Genomic DNA, 25,347 nt, shown 5'->3' on the forward strand with positions numbered 1-25,347 from the left:
CTGGGGTCAAGTGATCCACCTGCCTCAGCCTCCCAAAGTGTTGGGATTACAGGTGTGAGCTACCACACCCAGCCAAGGTGTGGTTCTTATAGGCAGCATATATTTGGGTCTAGCTTTTTTTTTTTTTCCATAGACAGGATCTCACTCTGTTACCCAGGCTGGAGTGCAGTGGCGTGACCATAGTTCACTGTAACCTCGGATACCTGGACTCAAGTGATTCTCCCATCTCAGTCTCCCGACTAGCTGAGACTACATTCATATACCACCATACCTGGCTAATTTTTCTACTTTTTGTAGAGACAGGGTCTCACTATGTTGCTCAGGCTGGTCTTGAACTATGGGCCTGAAGTGATCCTCCCAAAGTGCTGGGACTACAGGTGTGAGCCACTGTGCCCAGCCATGTCTAGCTTTTTTAATCCAATCTGAAAATCTCTACAACTTAATTGGGGTGTTTAGACCATTTACATTTAATGTGATTATTGATACAGGTAGGTTTGAGCTATCATCTTGCTATTTGTTTTCTATTGTGTCATCTGTTCTTCATTTTCTTTTTCCCTGCTTTTTCCTTTTTTGGATCAGTTGAACATTTTTATGATTTATATTATCTTTGTTTACTTGTACATGATTTTGTTTCATGTATTTTGGTGCTTTGTTATTAGGGACGTACACATTAAGGATTATATTCTATTGAACAATCGGCTCCTTTATCATGAATCCTTTTTATCCCTAGTTTTATTTTTTGATAGGAATTCTACTCCATCTGATTCTAATATAATCACTCTGGCTTTCTTTTGATTACTATTAGCATGGTATACCTTCATTAAAAGCAGAAATATTCTCAGGGATAGTTACTGTTTCAAAAAGTGAATTTTGGCTGGGCATGGTGGCTCACACCTGTAATCCCAGCACTTTGGGAGGCCAAGGTGGGTGGATCACTTGAGGCCAGCAGTTCAAGACCAGCCTGGCCAACATGGTGAAACCCCATCTGTACTAAAAATACAAAAATTAGCCAGGCGTGGTGGCGCGTGCTTGTAATCCCAGCTACTTGGGTGGCTGAGGCACAAGAATTGCTTGAACCTGGGAGGCAGAGGTTGCAGTGAGCCGAGATCACGCCACTGCACTCCAGCCTGGGCGACAGAGCGACACCCTGTCTAAATAAATAAATAAAAAGTGAATTTACTGAATTTTGTTTCCTTTTTTAAAAATCCCGTTCATCTACTTTAAAAATTAAAAATGGATATTTATTTATTAAATAGAATAGATCATAAAATATTCAATTTTTTATTATGTTAAGGGCAAAGGAAAAAAATGAAGAAAATAAAGAACAGGGCACATAGAAATACTAGGAATCTGGAGAAAGATTTTCTGGAGAAAGCCTCTTTCTTGTGACCTTTTGGCATGTTGCTGTTAAAGGCTCTTCGAGAGGTACTGACATTTTTGGTAAGTGTAGGTATGAATGGATATCACACTTGTAGTTACTTGGGCTCTGGTCCAAATGAAGTTAAGTCTGGAGCTGAATCTAGCCCATGAGCTAGTGATTCCTCATCCCTAACACAGACATCACTGATTTCTCTTCCAGAATTGGCTTGGAAACGAAATTGAGGTTATGGTCAGTACTGAGGAAGCCAAACGCCATCTGAATGACCTCCTTGAAGATAGAAAGATCCTGGCTCAAGATGTGGCTCAACTCAAAGAAAAAAAGGAATCTGGGGAGAATCCACCTCCTAAACTCCGGGTAAGTACGCTTATGAAAAAATGTTGCCAATAATCAGACTCTACATTCCCCAGAAATCCTCATAGCTTTGGAGGATTACTTTCCTTTTAGTATTTCACCCTTGTTCTCACTATTATTTACAGAGGCGTACATTCTCCCTTACTGAAGTGCGTGGTCAAGTTTCGGAGTCAGAAGATTCTATTACAAAGCAGATTGAAAGCCTAGAGACTGAAATGGAATTCAGGTAACAGGGACTATCTCTAAGCCATTATAAAAATTTATGCCTGGAATCAAAAATTGAACCTATTAATCTAGTGATTCAAAAGCCTTGTGATGGTGGAAAAACACGAGAAAATAACAATTTTTTTTAAACCAGACACTGTACTAGGTATCTTAGATACATTTTCTTATTCAATCCCTTTGATGCCTTATGAGGTAAGTATCATTCTTCTCATGTTAGAGATCTAAAATTAACTTGGTCATATGGAAGTGGGTTATCAGAACTTATTAACATTAGTGTCACTGAAGTTGGTATACAACCCCCTCGCTGCTAAATTTGACTGGCTTTTTAATAAATAACTGGTTAATTGGTTAATTTTTAAAAGGAAATTCAGCAATCTTAAGAAATTTGCCAAAGGTAATTAACTGGCTAACAAACAACAGAGCTGGGATTCAAAACACACTCTAATTCCAAAGCCCATGCTTTTTACAATACAGCACAATTTTTTCTCTTTATTTTTTTAACTGATAACTAGAGAGTCAGGCACCATAATTTTTGATGCAGTAGTGTCTCTAAGATGTAGAACCAATAACAGAATTTTAGAGGAACCAAAGAAATGATAATAGAAGAGCAACAACACAGAAGGTGAACTTTAGAGATCATCAAGAAAATAGTTCTAACATGGTAAGTAAAGTTGTCATGAGCATTAAATGAAATTAGTAAAGTGCATAACAGTACTTAGCATATTAGAAGTGCTCAATGGGCCAGGCGCAGTGGCTCATGCCTGTAATCCCAGCATTTTGGGAGGCTGAGGTGGGTGGATCGCCTGAGGCCAGGAGTTCAAGACCAGCCTGGCCAACATGGTGAAACCCTTTCTCTACTAAAAATACAAAAGAAATTAGGTGGGCATGGTGGCAGGCACCTGTAATCCCAGCTACTCGGGAGGCTGAGGCAGAAGAATCGCTTCAACCCGGGAGGCAGAAGTTGCAGTGAGCCGAGATTGCGCCATTGCACTCCAGCCTGGGCGATAGAGCAAGACTCCATCTCAAAAAAGTAAAAAAATGGCCAGGCACGGTAGCTCTCGCCTGTAATCCCAGCACTTTGGGAGGCCAAGGCAGGCAGATCACGAGGTCAGGAGATCGAGACCATCCTGGCTAACACAGTGAAACCCCATCTCTACTAAAAATACAAAAAATTAGCCAGGCGTGGTGGCACGCGCCTGTAGTCCCAGCTACTCGGGAGGCTGAGGCAGGAGAATCACTTGAACCCAGGAGGCGGAGGTTGCAGTGAGCCGAGATCGTGCCACTGCACTCCTGGGCGACAGAGTGAGATTCTGTCTCAAAAATGAAAGGCAGACAGACAGAAAGAAAGGAAAGGAAAGGAAAGGAAGGAAAAAGAAAGAGAAAAGAAAGAAAAGAAAAAGAAGGAATAGAAGTGCTCAGTGAAGGCCGCACTTTCTCAGGACCTCTTGAGACTGTGTTCCCTGTGCCGTGGTCACTCATATTGGCTCTAAAAAGTAAAAAGAAAAAGAAGTGGTCAATGAATGTTCTTCTGTCCCTCATCTCCTAGCTCTAGACCAGAAATTATGCTACACAGGCTCTTCTAATCATGATTATTTTAAGCAGTTTATGAAATCTAGAAGGAACAGAACCTTGACAGAGATTTTATCGTGTTTTAGGATAATAGAACCTTGGGATCATTTAATCTGGTTTTAGCAATACATACTAACTTTATCTTGGGATACATCTATAAATCACTCAACCTTTGAGTTCCTGCTTTGTGCTACACTGGATGCAGTTGGGATATACAGAAAAAATAGATGACATTGCCCTTGCTCTCAGGTGGAAATAGTATCATTACTCACACTGGTGTCCTGGAATCATTTGCTAAAATTTCAAGAATGTTGTAAACCGTTGTTAGTTTACAATTGATTATGGTGAGAATTTTTACACCACAGAAACTGACAAAAGTTACAAATCAGGGCTGGGGTTTTTGTTTGTTTGTTTGTTTTTGTTTTATGTTTGTTTGTTTTGAGACAAAGTCTCACTCTTGCCCAGGCTGGAGTACAATGGCGCGATCTTGGCTCACTGCAGCCTCTGCCTCCTGGGTTCAAGTGATTCTCATGTCTCAGCCTCCCAAGTAGCTGGAATTACAGGCACATGGCACCATGCCTGGCTAATTTTTGTATTTTTAGTAGAGACAGGGTTTCACCATGTTGGCCAGGGTGGTCTCGAACTCCTGGCCTCAAGCGATCGGCCTGCCTTGGCCTCCCAAAGTTCCAGGATTACAGGTGTGAGCCATTGTGCCCAGCCAAGGGCTGGCTTTTTAAGTGCTGGTTATTAAAAATTTACCTACATACCATATGCGTAAGTAAATGATTATGTAAATGTAGGGCTGGTGCCAAGTAGAAGGAATTAGAGGTGAGTTTAGTTAGGAGAATTTTTTTAGAACTGATGAGACTTAAACTACATTTTGGAATAGATAAGGGACACGAATTGTCAGAGAAGACAGGAAAGGGCCAATGATAGGTGACAACTCTGAAGTGTTGTGCCCCACCTCTTCCAGAAGCCTTCCCTGACTTTTTAATCCCTCACTAATCTTCCTTGTTCTCTAAACTCTTTCAGAACTTATGATACTCAATTATGACATACTGCTGACATGTTATCTTTATGTTTATTGTTTTATGTTTATTAATTTTGTCATTCTAAAGACAGACTGTAAGCTTGTTGAAGGAAAGGACTCTACATTAGACCAGGGTTTTCAAAGTGTGGGCCGCAGATTACTGGGGAGCTCATGAGCCAGTGATCAAAACTATTTTCATAATAATATTAAGGCATTATTTGCCTTTTTTGCTACATTGGAATTTGCACTGAAAATGCAAAAGCCATAGTGGGCTAAAGTGCTGACACCCTAGGCTGAATGAAAGCAGTGGCACCAACCTGAACTAGTAGTCATTGTATGCTTCACCACTATATACTCTCAGGTTTTAAAAAAACAAGCCAGTCTTAATTAAGAATGGTGTTGCGAAAGCAGTAAAAGTTGTTGATTTTACTAAATCTGGACCCTGGAGTTCATGTCTGTGTTACATCCTGTGTGACGAAACAGGAAGAACACAGAAAGCACTTCTACTGCATGCTGAATATGATGGTCGTCTCAAGAAAAGCACTGCGATTGTTTGAGGTGTGAGCTCAATAGGCCTCTTTTTTCATGGGACATCATTTTTACTTAAATGAACAACTGACAGACAAACTGTGGTTATTAAGACTTGGTTACTTGGCAGACATTTTCTCAAAAAGAATAGAGCGAGCCTGTTGCTTTAAGGAAAACAGCTGACAGTGTTTGTTACCTAAGACAAAATGTGAGCTTTCAAGCAAAATTTGGATTTGGAAAACTTGTATCTGCCACTGTGAACTTGACAGTTTTTCATAACTTTTCTGATAAGACCAGTAGTGATATTAACAAGTGTGATTTTAAAAATATATATTTTATAGAATGAAATGTGTTAACATTTGGAAGATCTGCATGACTCTGGAGTAATATTGTCCAAATGGCACTTTATAGAATGATGTATTCGTAAATGAGCCATTCAGATTGCAAGATAGACTGATGAATTTTAATATGAGAGAATATAAAAAAGTTTATGGAAATCATCATTCTCAGTAAACTATCGCAAGGACAAAAAACCAAACACCGCATGTTCTCACTCATAGGTGGGAACTGAACAATGAGAACACATGGACAGAGGAAGAGGAACATCACACTCTGGGGACTGTTGTGGGGTGGGGGGAGGGGGGAGGGATAGCATTAGGAGATATACCTAATGCTAAATGATGAGTTACTGGGTGCAGCACACCAGCATGGCACATGTATACATATGTAACCTGCACATTGTGCACATGTACCCTAAAACTTAAAGTATAATAATAATAAAATAAAAACAACAACAACAACAACAAAGTTTATTAATAAGTTTCAGATTCAACATTGCAACTAACTCTTTTTTTTTTTTATTATACTTTAAGTTTTAGGGTACATGTGCACATTGTGCAGGTTAGTTACATATGTATACATGTGCCGTGCTGGTGCGCTGCACCCACTAACTCATCATCTAGCATTAGGTATATCTCCCAATGCTATCCCTCCCCCCTTCCCCCACCCCACAACAGTCCCCAGAGTGTGATATTCCCCTTCCTGTGTCCATGTGATCTCATTGTTCAATTCCCACCTATGAGTGAGAATATGCGGTGTTTGGTTTTTTTGTTCTTGCGATAGTTTACTGAGAATGATGATTTCCAATTTCATCCATGTCCCTACAAAGGATGTGAACTCATCATTTTTTATGGCTGCATAGTATTCCATGGTGTATATGTGCCACATTTTCTTAATCCAGTCTATCATTGTTGGACATTTGGGTTGCAACTAACTCTTAAGGAGGTACCGCTTGTTGAGTTTTAGTGTAGTCTCAAAGAAGACTATTTGCAGTTATCTGAAAAGGCTATTAAAATACTCCTTTTCCCATCTGCATATTCATGTGAGGCCAGATTGTCTTCATTTACATCAACTAGAACAACATGTCACAAAAGATTGCATACAGAGGGAGACATAAGAATCCAGCTGTCTTCAACTAAGCCAGACATTACAGAGATTTGCAAAAGTGTAAAATAATTCCTTTTCTTACTATTTATTATCTCAGAAAATGCTACTTTTCAGAAAATATGTAATGTATAATAGGTTTATGTTTTTTTTTTGTTTTTGTTTTTTTGACAGAGTCTCACTCTGTCACCCAAGCTGGAGTGCAATGACGTGATCTCGGCTCACTGCAACCTCCACCTCTTGGGTTCAAGCAATTCTCCTGCCTCAGCCTCCCAAGTAGCTGGGATTACAGGCACCTGCCACCAGGCCCAGCTAATTTTTTGTATTTTTAGTAGATACGGGGTTTCACCATGTTGGCCAGGCTGGTCTCGCTCCTGACCTCAGGTGATCCACCTGCCTCAGCCTCCCAAAGTGCTGGGATTACGGGAGTGAGCCACCGCGCCCCGCCAATAGGTTTATGATTTTTTTTTTTTTTTTTTTGAGATGGAGTCTTGCTCTGTCGCCAGGCTGGAGTGCAGTGGCACAATCTCAGCTCGCTGCAACCTCCGACTTGCTGGTTCAAGCAATTCTCCTGTCTCAGCCTCCCAAGTAGCTGGAATTACAGGCACACGCCACCACCCCTAACTAATTTTTGTATTTTTAGTAGAGACAGGGTTTCACCATGTTGGCCAGGATGGTCTCGATCTCCTGACCTCATAATTTGCCTGCCTCGGCCTCCCAAAGTGCTGGGATTGCAGGCGTGAACTACCTCGCCCAGCCTAGGTTTATGATTTTTAAGTGAATTAATTTTTTTTTTTTTTGAGATGGAGTATTGCTCTGTCTCCCAGGCTGGAGTGCAATGGCACGATCTCGGCTCACTGCAACCCCCACCTCCCGGGTTCAAGTGATTTTCCTGCCTCAGCCTCCCAAGTAGCTGGGATTACAGGCACCCACCACCACGCCTGGCTAATTTTTGTATTTTTAGTAGAGCCGGGGTTTCACCAGGTTGGCCAGGCTGGTCTCGAACTCCTGACCTCAGGTGATCCACCCACCTCGGCCTCCCAAAGTGCTGGGATTACAGGTGTGAGCCACTGCGCCCAGCTAAAATTTTTTTCAGTTGTACTTTCTAATACTATAAATCTCTATAGGTATAACACATGTGAACAGAATGTCCTAGATGTCTTCAATAATTTTTAAGGGTGTAAAGGGGTCCTGAAACCCCAAAATTTGAGAACTACAGTCTTAGATTATTTTCATACCCATCTTCCTTATAGTACCAAACTTATCACTGCATATGAAGCACATGCTGGTATACTCTTTCTCACTAGACACAGAAGAAATTTGAGAAGAAAGCTATTAATTAAACTGAAATACTGTGTAGATTTTGGTCTAGGACATACTTGATCAGAAAGTACCCAGAAGCTATAACCAGGGTCAGAATATCTAGTCTTCTTAGAAACTTCTCGGTCTTGTGGCAGGCACATCAAGATAACCTCTCACAATGCCAGCCATGGGTATCATTTTGGTACTTGATTGTAGTAAAGAGCATATCTACCTGTTCTTTTGAGCTTTTTCCTTCAAGTCTCCAACCTGAATCTTATCCTTGCATGGGTGGACCATCATGTCACAGTCTGAGCTTATATGGCCTCAAGACAAAGTAACATATTATACTTAATCCACTACAACAAAAGCCTTACTGTGATAAGTCTTTCCAAGTCCCACTTTATGACCCATTTATTTCAACCAGTATTTAATGGAATAAAACCATTTAAATAGTCTCTTAGAGTCCCTTTGTTACAAGATTTGCGATACTATGTAAAATCCTAACCAGATGACTTAAACATTATTTAAATGATATTTAACTGATAGCTCCATCCATAAAATTATTTGAAGTTTCTCCTCAGAGCTCTTCCCCCTTCTTGATGTTCAGGCTACTTGCAATAAGGCTTACTGTTTCTTTCCCTGAAGGAGTGCTCAGATTGCTGACCTACAGCAGAAGCTGCTGGATGCAGAAAGTGAAGACAGACCAAAACAACGCTGGGAGAATATTGCCACCATTCTGGAAGCCAAGTGTGCCCTGAAATATTTGATTGGAGAGGTAAACATCACTCTAACCAGCAGTTAGGAGGCTGGCTGTGTAGGTTGAAATGGGATGTTAGCCTTGAAATATTGTCAAAGTGTTATTGCCACTTTTCATGGTAGAAACCCTAATAACACTAACATTAGAGAGTTTAGTAGATAAAGGTTGGTGTAAGCAAGTACAGGCCAGTCACTTACAAAAATATAATATGACTCACAAATTGATGCCCGTTGTGACTGGCCTATAGCAAGTGCTGAATGCGTGTTAGCTGTTGTTATTAGGAAAGACCAGAATGCCATAGTGGGTCACTGGCTAAACATCAACTGTTATACTGTACTACTTTTTAAAACCCCTATGAGATGTATATTCAAAAATTTAAGATCCAGTCTAGAAAAGGGAAAACCTAAGCATCTTTTGACATATAAAGATTCATTTTAGGGAAAAGCCATCTTTGCTGACCTTAAAATGATATGTCACCTTACGTTGTCACAAGAGGAATGAAAATTGATTGCCTCTGGTGATTGAAGCATTTTCACTCAAGATAAGCATACAAACTCCAAACCCACAAGTTTAAACAATGCTACCCTTTATACATTTTTGTGTTAGCTTAGCAGATTTGTTCTACTAAGGAAATCTTGATCAGTCTTGTGAACACTGGTACTTATGATGTTCACCATCTGGGCTAGTAGTGAATGTAAAACTAGGCCAGTGTAGGATATGTAGCCTGAAGAGCCAGATCTGCAGTCTCAGTCTACAAGTTCTAACATGTGAATATAGACATTCTGAAATGGGACATAATTGGCCATAAGGGTGTGTCCTGTGGATTTTGCTTAAAAATTAAGGAAGAACTTCTTAAATATCAGAATTTGTAATTGTCAGATACTATTCGGGTTAGCTTTATTCTTGCCTTGAGGCAGAGCAAGAAATAAAATGGCCTTAGCAGTGGCTTCTAGCCCCAAGATACATGTCTCAGCAGAAATGTGGACTCTTGGCCTGGGAATAGAACAATAGTATATTTACTATTCAATGTTGGAATCCATATGACATGAAAAAATAAGAATAGACTTGAACATGGAGGAATTTTTCTCAGACCCTTTCAAGAAAGCTGACATTATCCTGCCTGTTGAAAGGGGGAAAGAAAGGTGGTCATTCTTCAAATAAACTGATCTTCTTTTATTCCTTCCAGCTGGTCTCCTCCAAAATACAGGTCAGCAAACTTGAAAGCAGCCTGAAACAGAGCAAGACCAGCTGTGCTGACATGCAGAAGATGCTGTTTGAGGAACGAAATCATTTTGCCGAGATAGAGACAGAGTTACAAGCTGAGCTGGTCAGAATGGAGCAACAGCACCAAGAGAAGGTAAACTCTAGCAAGTCAAGAAGCTATACTGTGAAACTATCATTGCCTTGTATTGTTAGTTTTAAAAAAAAAGTGGGGATATGAAATTTCTTTCAAAAGTCCACGTGGCCTTTTCTAAATTTTGCAAATAAAAAGAAACCTGAAGCAGAGACGTGACTTGTCTAACTTTATACATACCAGTGACAATGGCTCTGGGTTTCCAACTTAAATATGAATATTAACAATATTAACATGCTGAGAAACAGGCCCAGCGTGGTGGCTCGTGCCTGTAATCCCAGCACTTTGGGAGGCCAAGGCAGGCAGATTGCTTGAGTCCAGGAGAGTGAAACCCCATCTCTACAAAAAATTACAGGAAATTAGCTGAGTGTGATGGTGTGCACCTGTGATCCCAGCCACTCATAAGGCTGAAGTGGGAGAATCGCTTGAACCCGTGAGGCAGAGGTTGCTGTGAGCCATGATCGTGCCATTGCACTGCAGCCTGGGCAACAGAAAGAAAAAAAAAAACTATGCTGAGAAACATCCATGCTGTACTTACTACTTCATGCCATGACAGCAAATGAGAACAGTTTACTTCTAAATCACAAGAGAGCAGTCACCTGGATCACTGCTTGAACTAAGTCAAAATTTCTTTTTCCCCTTGGTACCTTTGTTACCACCCATTGGATCGTGTCTTTCTCTAGGTGCTGTACCTTCTCAGCCAGCTGCAGCAAAGCCAAATGGCAGAGAAGCAGTTAGAGGAATCAGTCAGTGAAAAGGAACAGCAGCTGCTGAGCACACTGAAGTGTCAGGTATGATCACGAGAGGTCTCCAGAGATGAGTTTCACAGTACTAACTGAGAATCTTGTCTCATTTAGACCCTTGTACTTGCAGCAGAGAGTAATTAACTACTGGAAAAAGTATTTATAATGGTAGCCTCTACTGCTTTTAGGCCCTATTTGATCAGGTTAGGGGTGCTTAGAGTGTAGCCATATATAGGAATAACCTCATTTTGGGTACCAAAATGGCAGCACATACTCCATATCAGACTCTGAGGCCTTGTGGTTCTTGGCGTCAACCCTGAGCTCTAAAGAGTTGAGGAAGTGAAATCATCCAGTAGTTACTTAGAATCCTAGGGCCATTCAAATGGTATGAAGAGCTTGTTCTTCTGTGCTGAGACCTGACATATTTGTAAAATGCCTGGGGTCTGAATTTCTTCCAGAGGCTAGGAACACCACACCCTTTAGTGGCATGTTGTAGCACTATTTTAGTCTAACTTAGAATCTTTTTCCTGAACCACCAGTCTGTAGGGTTTCCTTGGCACCTTCCATCTAAGACATAAGCAAACTAGTTAAGGTTGTATGCATGAATCTGGGTGTCTTAGGTGCCAGGTAGTTCGGTCAGGCTTACTAAAGTAGCAAGTAAACTGCCTAGTCTATGTTGAGAAGGGTAAAGAGAAGCATCTATAGACTTCAAGAAAATAGAGCTAAGTTTCTGCGGGTTTCTTAATCAGCATCCGAATGTGAATAAGGGATATGAAGCTAAGGAATGGAAAAGAATAAGGAAGGCTTGTCGGGCAGAGTCCACGGTTCCTATGAATGTGGTCAGAGCTGCTGGGGAGCATTGGAATGGAAGTGGCATTCAGGGCACCTAGGAACTGGGAATCAGACATTTTTCTGGGTGCCAGTGCCTGCTGTGCAAAAACCATCTGCTGCCAGCAACTTGGCAGCAGTATGTTTTCATCTATGTGAGTTGTTTGGTAACCCACATGTAGTGCCCAAAATAACCCCATATATCACTGCACTATCTGGAAATAGGATGAAGAACTTGAGAAAATGCGAGAAGTGTGTGAGCAAAATCAGCAGCTTCTCCGAGAGAATGAAATCATCAAGCAGGTAATACAGTTTCCCACCCACTTGATAAGCCCTAAGAGACCCCGTTGCTACTGAGGCCAGCTCTTGGGACCAACCCCCATTGTGGTGACTTGGCTTTATTTCATGAGGTCTACATTTAGTTTCCATGTGACATATGCATTTCAAAGTGGAATAAACATAAGTTTTTAAATTTGCCATTTTCTGAATCTAATATTGTTGATATTGGAAAGTGGGAGTCAACGTACTCTACTATAATCCTGCATCACTTTACTATGGTTTAACGTTAAGCTAGCCTAGGTCTGGTATCTGTTTTAGCCATGAACACTCCCAGAAGCTGCCCTGCATTATATACTTTGTCTCTTCTTTTCAAATAGAAACTGACCCTCCTCCAGGTAGCCAGCAGACAGAAACATCTTCCTAAGGATACCCTTCTATCTCCAGACTCTTCTTTTGAATATGTCCCACCTAAGGTAAAATGATCAGTGCCTGTGATACCTTTGCACAGCTTAGGTTTGGGGTGAGTGTGCTAAAATTGCCCTTTATAAGAGGTTGACAGTTAAAATTCCCAAATTCTAGCATCTCACTTTTCTTTGGAGTCCCAGATAAAACTACAGTTCAATCCTAAGGAAAGTAGGCATTCTTACTCCTCAGAAGGCTGACTTTGGGCCATGGACAGGCATTACCTAACACAACTGAGGAGGAGGGACAGGAGAAAAGAGCAATAATGTTCAGCTGTCCATCCAAAGATACTTATCTCATCATATCATGAGTTTCCCTTTCCTCCCTCAGATTGGTCAGCCTCCAATTTCACTGCCTTCAAAGACTCTGCAAAGCCATAGGCTAAAGCAGAATTTCTTCTGATTGGTAAAGCCAAGTGGGGTGGATTTGAGAGAGTCTGAAATCTTTGCTCTGAGAATATAGCTGGCAACAGCTACTGGGAAGATATGATGCATATATAGTTTTTAGTTTTTATTAAATAACTAAACTACTCCAAACCTTTTTTCCTAGCCAAAACCTTCTCGTGTTAAAGAAAAGTTCCTGGAGCAAAGCATGGACATCGAGGATCTAAAATATTGTTCAGAGCATTCTGTGAATGAGCATGAGGATGGTGATGGTGATGATGATGAGGGGGATGACGAGGAATGGAAGCCAACAAAATTAGTTAAGGTGTCCAGGAAGAACATCCAAGGGGTAGGAGCCAGCTCTTCAACTTTTTTTTTGTTTTGTTGTTGTTGTTTTTGGAGACAGAGTCTCACTCTGTCGCCCAGGCTGGAGTACAGTGGTGCATTCTCGGCTCACTGCAACCTCTGCCTCCCAAGTTCAAGTAATTCTCGTGTCTCAGCCTCCTGAGTACCTGGGATCACAGGCGTGTGCCACCACACCCAGTTAATTTTGTATTTTTAGTACAGACAGGGTTTCACCATGTTGACCAGGCCAGTCTCAAACTCCTGGCCTCAAGCAATCTGCCTGCCTCAGTCTCCCAAAATGCTAGGATTACAGGTGTGAGCCACCGTGCCCGGCCTAGCTCTTCAACTTTGTCAGGGGTTCTAATTCTTAGTATTCATTCACTGCCACTGGGATAGTTTTCTGAATCTAGGAATGTGTTGGCCCCATACCCTTTAGCTATCATTTAGAGGCACTGACTCCACTAAAGGGGGGCTTGTTGGGCCATCTTTGTGTAGAACCTGGGGCTAGTATAGAGGGCTGCTTGAGTGCACAAGTTGGCTCTCTTCTTGTTTTCAGGTTCTTATCAATTTGAATAGGTAATGTTCCATACCATTTCATTGAAGCTGATCCCAAAATGATCATAACAATTCTTCATGTTTTTATAGCACTTTACAGTTTATAAACCATTCTCATATATATTACCACTTTTAATCACCACAAAAAATCCAGTGAAGGGCCAGGCGCAGTGGCTCACGCCTGTAATCCCTGCACTTTGGGAGGCCAAGGCGGGCAGATCACCTGAGGTCGGGAGTTCGAGACCAGCCTGACTAACAGGAAGAAACCTCGTCTCTACTAAAAATACAAAATTAGCTGGGCCTGATGGCGCATGCCTGTAGTCCCAGCTACTCAGGAGGCTGAGACAGGAGAATCGCTTGAACCTGGGAGGGTGGAGGTTGCAGTGAGCCGAGATCATGCCGTTGCACTCCAGCCTGGGCAACAAGAGTGAGATTCCATCTCAAAAAAAAAAAAAAATCCAGTGAGATATTTACTATTTGCATTTTCCAGATGGACCCCCGACCCACAGGAGGGAAATGACCTTGCCCAAGGTCGTAAAACTAAGTGATAGTCAGGACTTGAAACCAAATATTCTGACTCCAAGTCCAGTTTGTTTCCCCCACATCATGGTTATGTCAGTAAAAACCATAGACCAGAAGTTGAGTGGGTACTTTATCTTTGCCTAACAGAGTAATTTTACTCTCTAGGCTAAGGAACAAAAAGAATTACAGAAAAAGCTAATAATTAAGATCAAACACACTAAGTTAAGGCTACTTAGGAACAATCCGACTTAGGCATGCTTTATTTTCTTATACAATGATAGTCCTACTCAAACCTAGATGTTTTATGTTGAAACATTAACTTCCCAGGCATTACAGTTCAGCACCACTACCCCCAACTGTGCCCTGCAGCCACATTCCACTTAAAGAGAACAGTTCACAAGTTATCTTAGCTGGCTTCCTACATTATTTGATTTGATTAGCCTATAGCTCATCACCTGGGGAACTAAGCCTTATAAACCCACACCACCAGGATGAAGCAAGTCATAAGATATAGACAGCCATGGTGGTAAGTCATTTGGTCAGTCAGAATCATCAAGAATGCAACATATCATGTGCTCATAGTGAAACTAAGAGCTCATCCTTAGCTTCAGAGAGTTTATAATCTAATGGGAAAACAAGGTAAAGGAATAGAAGCCTACCATAGAACCTCAGCATATTCGTCTCAGGGAGATGGACCGGGGAGTTTTTGGTTTGTTTGTTGTGTTTTTTCTTTTGAGACAGAGTTTCACTCTTGTTGCCCAGGCTGGAGTGCAATGGCACGATCTTGGCTCACCACAACCTCCTCCTCCCGGGTTCAAGCGATTCTCCAGCCTCAGCCTCCTGAGTGGCTGGGATTACAGGTGCCCGCCACCATGCCCAGCTAATTTTGTATTTTTAGTAGAGATGGGGTTTCTCCATGTTGGTCAGGCTGGTCTCGAACTCCTGACCTCAGGTGATCTGCCCACCTCGACCTCCCAAAGTGCTGGGATTACAAGCATGAGCCACCGTGCAAGTTTTTAAGAGTGACTATAAAGCCAAACCAAGGAGGTGTAATTTAAGAAAATGCCATGAAAGAGGTGACTATTGCTGCGTTGTAAGACAGAAAGGGAAATACAGTCTTGGGAGCAACTGGGAGACATTTCTGGCACAATGAATAGCATATTCCTAAGACTTGAAGATGGTAGTGGAACAGAGAGTTGGGACACTTAGAGAAAATGGGGCAGAGCGTGTCTCTTTCTTTCATTTACTCAACAAACATTTATGGACGTTTTACTATAGTTGAAGTAGAGAGCATGAGCTGAATGTAGATTAAAAGGTCAGCTAAGTAATAGGAGGCAGAGTTGAGAAGTACACACAGAAAAATGGTAGAGGCCAGGCGTGGCTCATGCCTGTAATCCCAGCACTTCGGGAGGCCAAGGCAGGCGGATCACCTGAGGTCAGGAGTTTGAGACCAGCCTGGCCAACATGGCGAAACCCCATCTCTACTAAAAATACAAAAATCAGCCAGGCATGGTGACGCATGCCTGTAATCGCAGCTACTTGGGAGGCTGAGGCAGGAGAATCGCTTGAACCCAGGAGGTGGAGATGGCAGTAAGCTGAGATCACACCACTGTACTCTAGCCTGGGATACAGAGCAAGACTGTCTCAAAAAAAAAAAAAAAAAGAAAAGAAAAAAAATGGTAGAGGGCCTAAAGCCCTGGAAAGGAATTTCCAAATATGAGGTGAATACAGGTATACTTGTCCTCAAGGAAAGCTTCATATATTTATTAGAGCACTGTTGCTCTAAGCTTAAAAGGGCAACATAGAAGTATAGCAAATATTGCAGTAAATAATATTTACTATTAGTGATAAATCCTACGTCTAAAACAATGAGGAATTACTGTTTTCTAGGCTTTTCCCCTGATTTTATAATTTGGAAAGTGAATATAACTGGGCTTTAAAGGGAACAAGTTAGCATAAAATCTGGTTTCTCTAAAGTTACCTTTTGGCAGTCTGAAAGTACATGGATACTATGACTGCTCTTTGATCAGACTGCTTGCAGACATATTACCTGTAGAACTTGATGCTTCACAGAGGACCTTTATTATTACTGCTTCAACCCAGCTGAAGCTGGCTGGGACTATCACTAGATTACTGAAAAGGAGACTGAAGCAGGCACCAAAATGATGACTTGTCCAGAGTTAATGGCTTCCTCACTCAGCCACATTTCCTATATGTACTAAGGAGATGCTGGGGGGTAAGTCATGTGCTATCATAGAAAAAGTAGTAACCTAGAAGCCAGATAGACATGGGTCTTGAGTTTGCCACGGGTTCATTGAGTAACCTTGAGCAAGTCAGTCTCCCTGGGCCTCAGATTCCTTACCTATGCAATGCAGGGTCTAGAACAGCGGTCCCCAATCTTTTTGGTACCAGGGACCGGTTTCGTGGAAGACAGTTTTTCCACGGACTGGTTGTGGGGGTGGTTTGGGGATGAAACTGTTCCATCTCAGATATCAGGCATTAGTTAGAGTCTCATAAGGAGTGCGCAACATGTGCAGTTCACAACAGGATTCTTACTCCTATGAGATTCTAATGCTGCCACTGATCTGACAGGAGGCAGAACCCAGGCTGTAATGCTTGCTCGCCTGCAGCTCACCTCCTGCTGTGTGGCTCAGTTCCTAACAGGCCACTGACCAGTACTGGTCCCCAGCCTAGGGGTTGTGGACCCCCTGGTCTAGAACAGATTATGTATAAGGTTCCTTCTAGGACTAATATCCTGAGTCAAAGTAACAGTCAAAGTTGTGTAAATGGGTTTTAATAACAATGCTTTTATATGGTGTTATATGGTATCTGAAAAGTTAGGAGGAATATATGCAAAAGCACCTTGTGAAGGATACAGTATCATGCAGATATTGTTGTTAAAGCACTGTAAGCATTTTACAAATATTCTCATTTGTCACATTTGGCAGAAAAGAGGAAGCAGGTATTTTTGCCTCTACCTTACTGATGAAGGAATAGCCTGGGCACGGTGGCTCATACCTGTAATCCCAATACTTGGGGAAGCCAAGGTGGGAGGATCACTTGAGCCCAGAGTTCAAGGCTGCAGTGAACTATGATTGTGCCACTGCACTCCAGCCTCAGTGACCGAGCAAGACCCCATCTCTAAATTTAAAAATTAAAAAAAAAAAAAGAATGGAGATTAACTTGGATGAAGTGACTTGTCCAAGGTCATGCCAAGCATTAAATATAGGACTAGAGCCTGAGTCTCCTAATTCCTAGTCTGGTATTCTTTGTTTTTTGTTTTTGCCACAGCATCACTTACCAATCCTGGTATTTTTTTTTTTTGGACCAGATCTCATCCTTCTGAAGTATGAGGTACAGTGTAACACTGAGCTTGGTGCTAGAGGAATTATGGACTCTAAAGCAGTAGTTCTCAAGTCTAGCCACACATTGGAACACCCAAGGGAGCTTTTAAACATGGAGCCTAGGACTCCACCCCCAGATATTCTGATGTAATTAGTCTGAGGTAGGACATGGACTTTTTGAAAAGCTCCCCAGAGATTTCTTATGTGCAGCCAGAGTTGAGAACAACTGGCTTAGGGGAAACCCAGACTCTGCTTTCCACTCTCTACAAAGAATCCCTTGGCCGGGTGTGGTTGCTCATGCCTATCATCCCAGCACTTTGAGAGGCCGAGGTGGGAGGATTGCTTGACGCCAGGAGTTCAAGACCAGCCTTGGCAACATAGCAAGATCCCATCTCTACAAAAGAAAAAGAAAAAAAAAAAGAGTCCCCCTATTACTTCTCAACTACGGTGCTGGGACATGCTGGTGGGTTGCCAGCAGTTGTGATACACACACACACACACACACACACCACCCTGTATACATGTATTAAATACATTTGTAGTTATGCCTGTGATAGGGACACATTCTGTCTTTGACATTCTAATCTGCTTCTTGGTGTGAGAGAGAATAGGATGAAGTTACAGCTCATGTACCTGGCATTCACGCAACTACATCTGTCATGTATGTCATGACTGTGCTATAATACCACTACCAGGTATTTATCTAACCTCTTCTTGCTTGAAGACTTCTAGTAGGGGGAAGCTCACAGTCTTATAGGACAACCCATTGGATTCCACTAATTGTTAGAAAGTTACTTCTTGTTTAGCTGAAATGTGCTGTCCTATACATCATCCCAGTAGGTCTTGGCTGTGTAAGAGCCTAATCATTCTTTATGACAGCCCTTCAGATACTGCTTTCATGATATTATCCCTAGGATAAAATAGAGAAACATGGATGAGGTAACAGCATTTTTGAAGCATTTAGATGAATTTGTAAATGGCCAAAGGACCATACCCAGGCTGTAGCAATCAATGGATCACTGTCATCCTGGTGAAGTATCACCAGGACATGTCATAGAACTCCATCTTTCATCCTGTCTTAAAGCAGCAAAGATTTTTTGTTATGATAATGTCTAGCGTTGGCAAGGGTGACTAAGAAGGGCACTTCTGGCCGGGCGCCATGGCTCACACCTGTAATCCCGACACTTTGGGAGGCTGAAGTGGGCAGATTACTTGAGCCTAGTAGTTTGAGACCAGCCTGGGCAACGTGGTGAAACCCTGTCTCTACTAGAAATACAAAAGATTAGCCTGGCATGGTGACACACACCTGTAGTCCCAGCTACTCAGTGGGGGCTGAGGCCACAGGATCACTTGAGCCCTGGAGGTTGAGGCTGCAGTGAGCTCTGATCATGCCACTGCACTCCAGCCTGGGTGACAGAGTGAGACCCTGTCTTAAAAAAAAAAAAAGAAGGGCATTTCTGTATTGCTATTAGGAATATAAATTGGTATACCTTTCAGGAAGGCAACTTGAAAATACGTATCAGTAGCCTTTAAAATGTTTCTATCCTTTGACCCAGTAATTTTACACATACAAATTTATACTGAGGAAGTAGACATTGGTATGTAAATGTATTTATTCGTTTGACAAATTTTTTTCTGAGCACCTATGTGCCAGGCACTGTTTCTAGATGCTGAGAAGACATGAAACAAGGCAGGTGAGATTCTTTACCCTCATGAAACTGGTATTCTTGTGGGGAGAGACACATGGTAACCAGAAAAATAAAATAATTTTAGATAGTGATGAGTGAAAAAGAAAAGAAAATATAGTGAAGTCATAGAGAATGTGGGATGGGAAAAGAGCACTTTAGAAGAGTGCTTGGGGCCAGGCGCAGTGGCTCACGCCTATAATCCCAGCACTTTGGGAGGCCGAGGTGGGCGGATCACTTGATGTCAGGAGTTCAAAACCAGCCTGGCCAACACAGCAAAACCCCATCTCTACTAAAAATATAAAAATTAGCCGGGCGTGATGGCGCACGCCTGTAATCCCAACCACTCAGGAGGCTGAGGCACAAGAATTGCTTAAACCTGGCAGAGGTTGCAGTGAGCTGAGATCTCGCCACTGCACTCCAGCCTGGGAGACAGAGCAAGACTCCATCTCAAAAAAAAAAAAAAAAGAGTGCTTGGGTAGGCCGGGCACGGTGGCTCATGCCTGTAATCCCAACACTTTGGGAGGCTGAGGTGGGAGGACTGCTTGAGGTCAGGAGTTAAAGACCAGGCTGGGCAACGTAGCGAGACCCCATCTCACTAAAAACAAATTTTTTTTAAAGAAGAGTGCTTGTGGAGCTCTCTCTGAGAAGGAAATATCTAAGCTGAGGCCTAAACAGTGAAGAGCAAGTCAGGAAAAGCATCAGAAGAACATTTCAGGAAAAGGGAACAGAAAATGTAAGACCTCAGGGCAGGAATGAGCTTAGTATCTCAAGGAACAGCTAAAAAGGCCAGTGTGACTAGAATGTATCAAGCATAAGCTACAGTCAGGGGATGGGTAGTCAAGGGCCAGATCATGGAGGGCCTTGTCAGTCGTGGTACAGTTTAGATTATATTTCTATACAAGGATATCTACTGCAACATGATTTATAATAGTGAACAATTTCTTTCAAAACAATCTTAATATTTAACATTAGGGGACTGGTTAAATAAATCGACATTATCCCCATGAGGAAATATATACAACTATTAAAGTCAAGTTTTTTGATTTTCAAATTTTGTAAAGTGATATATATTATTCTGCTAATCAGAAAAAAAATGTTATTGTGGTTTCTACAGAGCAACTACAGAGCAAAGGTGATGGTTCTCATATGAAAAAAACTTAAAGGCTTGAATTTGACTATAAGCTCAGTATGAATCCACAAAGATGTGACAGGAAAAAAAAAGCAACTGATTTTAGGCCTCATGAACAGGACTACTGGGTCCATAACAAGGGAGGTGTTTATCACAGTCCACCTCACAGTGGCCACACCACATTTAGAAAGTTGTGCTCATTTCTAGATCTCACAATTGAAGAACTTTGACAAATTGGTGTATAGTCAAGGTGGTGAGGATACATGAGAACCATGTCATGTGGCAAATCATTGAGGGAACTAGGTACATTTAACTTTGAGAGGATTTGGACAGAAGGGGACTGGGGAGTAAAAATTACGTTCAGGGTTTGAACAGTTATTCTATAAAAGTGGGGTTAAACTGATTCCATGTCATTTTAGATGGCAGAATTGGGTCCTATGATTAGAAGTTATATAGAAACTATTATCACCTCAGGATAAATAGAGCTTCAGATAATTAGACCAGGGATGTTAAGAGGGGCTTCATACATCAAACCAGTCTTTAGGTGGTCGCTGAGGTCTCTTCTCACTCTGTTCCTTCATCCTGTGAGCTCAGCCACCTCTGTCTTTTCAAAGCCAAACTATCCCACTTTCTTCTACGATTTTTCTTATAGCATTGCTTCCTATAATTCTGATCACTCACCTCTTTTTTGTTTAACATCCTCTTTATAAAACATACACACTGACTTCCTGAATGTGTATACAAGAAAACATGCTTATTGATTAAACTGGTTTAATAAATGGAAAGCCCTTATAGCAGTGCCTGGCACACATTAATGTTAGCTATCACTACTGCAGCCTTGTTTATAAGAATGGAAAATGGCACTATCAGGAGAATGGGTAAATTGTGGCAACTTCATAGAGTGAAAATGAATGGAATTGAAGCTATATGTATCAACATATGTCATTTATACAAAGTTTAGAAACGTGTAAGACAATTTCTTGTTTGTTTTTGTTTTTTTACAAAAACTCTTATGTGTGGCTAGGTGCTGTTGCTCACGCCTGTAATCTCAGCACTTTGGGAGGCTGAGGCAAGAGGATTGCTTGAGGCCAGGAGTTCAAGACCAGCCTGGGCAACATGGCGAGACCCTGTCTCTACAAAACCAAAAAATTAGCCAGGCATGGTGGCATGTGCTTGTGGTCTCAGATACGCTGGAGGCTGAGGCAGGAGGATCACTAAGTCAAAGAGGTTGAGGCTGCAGTGAGCTATGATTGTGCCACTGCACTCCAGCCTGGGTGACAGAGCAAGACCCTGTCTCCAAAAAAAAAAAAAAAACTAATGTGGTAAGAGACATACATAGGAATGATAAACACCTAATTCAGGAGACTGTTTATCCCTGGAAAGGGGGAGGCAAATAGGATCAGGAAGGAGTGCATAGGAGACCTTGGTTATATCTGCATTTTACTATTAAGGGGGGTTAGTGGGGGCATGAGTGAGGTTTTTTATTGCTATTGTCTATGCTTTTGTACACATGAACAAAATTATGGTGCCCTAAAATAGGATGCATTATTTCTTTTTTTTTTTTTTTTTTTTTTTGAGACGGAGTTTCACTCTTGTCGCCCAGGCTGGAGTGCAATGGCATGATCTTGGCTCACTGCAACCTCCGCCTCCCGGGTTCAAGCGATTCTCCTGCCTCAGCCTCCTGAGTAGCTGGGATTACAGGCATGCGCTATGATGCCTGGCTAATTTTGTATTTTTAGTGGAGACGGGGTTTCACCATGTTGGTCAGGCTGGTCTTGAACTTCTGACCTCAGATGATCTGCCCGCCTCGGCCTCCCAAAGTGTTGGGATTACAGGCGTGAGCCACTGCGCCCAGCCAGGATGCATTATTTCAAATGGGATCCAGTTGAGCCAGGGTACAATGAAATAATTACTCCCCATCTTTTCTGAACTCCAAATTTCTACCTGACTGCATTTGCTTTGGGACAGCCATTTCAAGCTGTTGACTCACAGAGCTTGCTTACACCTCAAATCCCTAGGCCCTTTTCTGCACAGTCTTTTTTTTTTTTTTTTTTTTTTTTTGAGACGAGGTCTCACTCTGTCACCCAGGCTGGAGTGCAGTGGCGCGATCTCAGCTCACTGCAGCTTCCACCTCCCAGGCTCAAGTGATCCTCCCACCTCAGCCTCCTGAGGTTGACACCACGTCCAGCTAATTTTTTGTATTTTTGGTGGAGACAGGGTTTCAGCATGTTGCCCAGGCTAGTCTCAAACTCCTGAGCTCAAGCGATCCACCCGCCTTGACCTCCCAAAGTGCTGGGATTACTGGCATGAGCCACCGCACGGTCTACTTTTAAGCTAGATCACTCCCCATGTTGTATTTATATGGCTGAGTTGAGGGGAACCTAAATACCAAACTTACAAACTTACTTTCTACTTTTACCCCTTAAGTCCAGCCTGTCAAAATATTTTTGAATTGTGATTCTTTTATCTTACATATTACTAATCCTTCCAGCTTTCTGTCATTGTTAGAGCTGATAAATATGCCTACCTTGTAGACAAGTTATGAGATTCAAATGAGATTTTGTATTTATGTACATGAAAGTACTCTGAAAACTGTAAAGTGCTATCAAATGTAAATGATTTTATTTCATATCATCAGTGATTTATCAAAATGTGTTAAGGACAAAGCCCAGGCTAACACTGGACAAAATGCAGAAATGTGAGCTGGATGAAAGTACAGCTTGGTAATTCTAAAAATACTGAGCAACTACACTTAGTTTTTAAATGTACTTAACTATACTACCATCCAGCTCACAGTGCTTCACTTTACCCATAAAGTTGTCATAAGAGTCTTTGTCGGTTGCCTTGCATTATTATGCTATCCCTCTGATCTGTCCTTCAAGTATTCTGTCCAAAAGAAAATGGATTTTTCAGCCAGGCGCGGTGGCTCACGCCTGTAATCCCAGCACTTTGGGAGGCCAAGGTGGGCTGATCACCTGAGGTCAGGAGTTCGAGACCAGCCTGGGCAACATGGTGAAACCCCCGTCTCTACTAAAAATACAAAAATTAGCCAGGTGGCCAGGCACGGTGGCTCACACCTGTAATCCCAGCACTTTGATAGGCCGAGGCAGGTGGATCGCCTGAGGTCGGGAGTTCAAGACCAGCCTGGCCAGCATGGTGAAACCCTGTCTCTACTGAAAATACAAAAAGTAGCCGGGCATGGTGGCAGGCACCTGTAATCCCAGCTACTCAGGAGGCTGAGGCAGGAGAATCACTTGAACCTGGGAGGCGGAGGTTGCAGTGAGCGGAGATCGTGCCACTGCACTCCAGCCTGGGTGACATAATAAGACTCCATCTCAAAGAAAAAAAGAAAAGAAAAGGAAATGGATTTGTCTGGCAAGACTTGTTCTCTTTAAACCTATGACGGTTCTTGGTGATTATTGTTTTCACCAAAGAAGAGAGGACTAAGGAGATTGAAGCTTGGTAGATAATAGTACTTTCCATTTTTTTCTAGAAAAGCTTGCAAATGAAGGGAAGTCATTTTAAACTAGTCTTCTAACCCTTTCAGTAATGTGTCTTTCTGCAAACCTGTTTTGCAGTGTTCCTGCAAGGGCTGGTGTGGAAACAAGCAGTGTGGGTGCAGGAAGCAAAAGTCAGACTGTGGTGTGGACTGTTGCTGTGACCCCACAAAGTGTCGGAACCGCCAGCAAGGCAAGGTAGGATCAGGGCTGTTTCCTCTCCCCTTCCCTTCAGACCTTCCTCTAGTTTCCACCCTCTTTTTCTGCCTTCCATCCTGAAACCTGGAGTCTCCTGCACAGCTCTTCCAACCCTTCTCCTTCCCTCTGCACCCAGAAAAAGAGACAGTTCACTTCTCAATCCTTTTTCCTTGCTGCTTGCCTGTTCACATACCCCTTTCAGAAACCACAGCACTTCCCAGGAGATTCCCAGGTATAGAGCTCCCCACCCCCAGGCTTGGCTGTAAAGTTTCTGTACTGTTTTTGAGATGACAAAGACAAGAAAGCAGGCATTCACAGGCATATAGACATGCAGGATCAAATTAGTCCAGAGGTTTAACTGGAACTGTAAGAGCCACGTACTGAGGTAGCAGCTTCCAGGAAGTTAATCCTTTTGACATCTCGAGACATTCGTTACCTAGACTCTCTCCATGGCAACCAGCTAGCTATTCCATGGCTCTAGAAAAAGACCCACAGGAACCAGGCCTTTCTAATAGTCACTGTTGTAAACCAAGTTAACCTAAATGTCCTCTTAATATTGCTCCCAGGAATAGCAAACTCAGGAAAACCAAATGTTCCCTGGGAAGAGCAGCACCAAGCAGGTCAGATCCCTATACCTGCCTTACACCTACCTGTGCAATAGCAAAAATGCATTACTACAGCTCTATATGTGATATACAGTAATTCTAGCAAGCACAATCTAATGATGATTCATCATGCATTTCTTGAACATCCACATGTGAAGAGTTTCAACCTGCATCTTCTATTAAAAAGACCTCTGGCCGGGCACGGTGGCTCACGCCTGTAATCCTAGCACTTTGGGAGGCCGAGGCGGGCGGATCACGAGGTCAGGAGATCAAGACCATCCCGGCTAACACGGTGAAACCCCGTCTCTACTAAAAATACAAAAAAATTAGCCAGGCGTGGTAGTGGGTGCCTATAGTCCCAGCTACTCAGGAGGCTGAGGCAGGAGAATGGCGTGAACCCGGGAGGCGGAGCTTGCAGTGAGCTGAGATCGTGCCACTGCACTCCAGCCTCAGCGACAGAGCGAGACTCCATCTCAAAAAAAAAAAAAAAAGACTTCTAACATAGATAGGCAAGCTAGAAGTCAGGCTAAGAACTGTAGAAGTAGCAGAGACCTTAAGGATCCTCTATTCCTGTGGTTTTTCAGTTTGCGTTCAAGAGTCATGTAGTAGCTCCATGAAAGGGCCTCCAGGCAGAGGGGCATGGCCCCTTCCTCCCTCCTCCCATCTCTATCTGTCTCTCTCTCGGACTCAGTTTTCTTAACTGAAAGGAACACCCAGTATGGATGCTAAAAGAGATATTGCAAATTGTAGAGAGGGGGAGTTTAGTCAAACAAATGACCGAGGCTTGTCTTTGCTTTAAACCTGGCCTTGTGAGATGTCCCATGCAACT

The 25,347-nt window shown here is 42.4% G+C and overlaps 1 protein-coding gene and 1 pseudogene across 1 annotated transcript in view, besides 1 other annotated feature; both read left to right on the forward strand.

Moving 5' to 3' along the window:
- Positions 1–25,347, forward strand: part of KIF4A (kinesin family member 4A) — a 130,783-nt gene that overhangs the window by 103,988 nt on the left and 1,448 nt on the right. Inside the window, exons 21-29 of the mRNA NM_012310.5 lie at positions 1,580–1,735; positions 1,858–1,958; positions 8,475–8,604; positions 9,773–9,943; positions 10,624–10,731; positions 11,737–11,814; positions 12,168–12,263; positions 12,802–12,984; positions 23,797–23,913. Coding sequence (NP_036442.3) covers positions 1,580–1,735; positions 1,858–1,958; positions 8,475–8,604; positions 9,773–9,943; positions 10,624–10,731; positions 11,737–11,814; positions 12,168–12,263; positions 12,802–12,984; positions 23,797–23,913 — 1,140 coding nt within the window. The remainder of the gene's footprint in view (positions 1–1,579; positions 1,736–1,857; positions 1,959–8,474; positions 8,605–9,772; positions 9,944–10,623; positions 10,732–11,736; positions 11,815–12,167; positions 12,264–12,801; positions 12,985–23,796; positions 23,914–25,347) is intronic.
- Positions 2,191–2,284, forward strand: RNY4P23 (RNY4 pseudogene 23; annotated as a pseudogene).
- Positions 8,486–8,708: a silencer, noted in NCBI's record as "fragment chrX:69622427-69622649 (GRCh37/hg19 assembly coordinates)". NCBI's record gives its function as "represses an EF-1alpha promoter that drives an FKBP-Casp9 reporter gene in an ReSE screen in K562 erythroleukemia cells {active_cell/tissue: K562}" and the evidence as "EXISTENCE:reporter gene assay evidence [ECO:0000049][PMID:32094911]".

This window comes from Homo sapiens, chromosome X, assembly GCF_000001405.40.
Source record: "Homo sapiens chromosome X, GRCh38.p14 Primary Assembly".
Taxonomy (NCBI): Eukaryota; Metazoa; Chordata; class Mammalia; order Primates; family Hominidae; genus Homo; species Homo sapiens.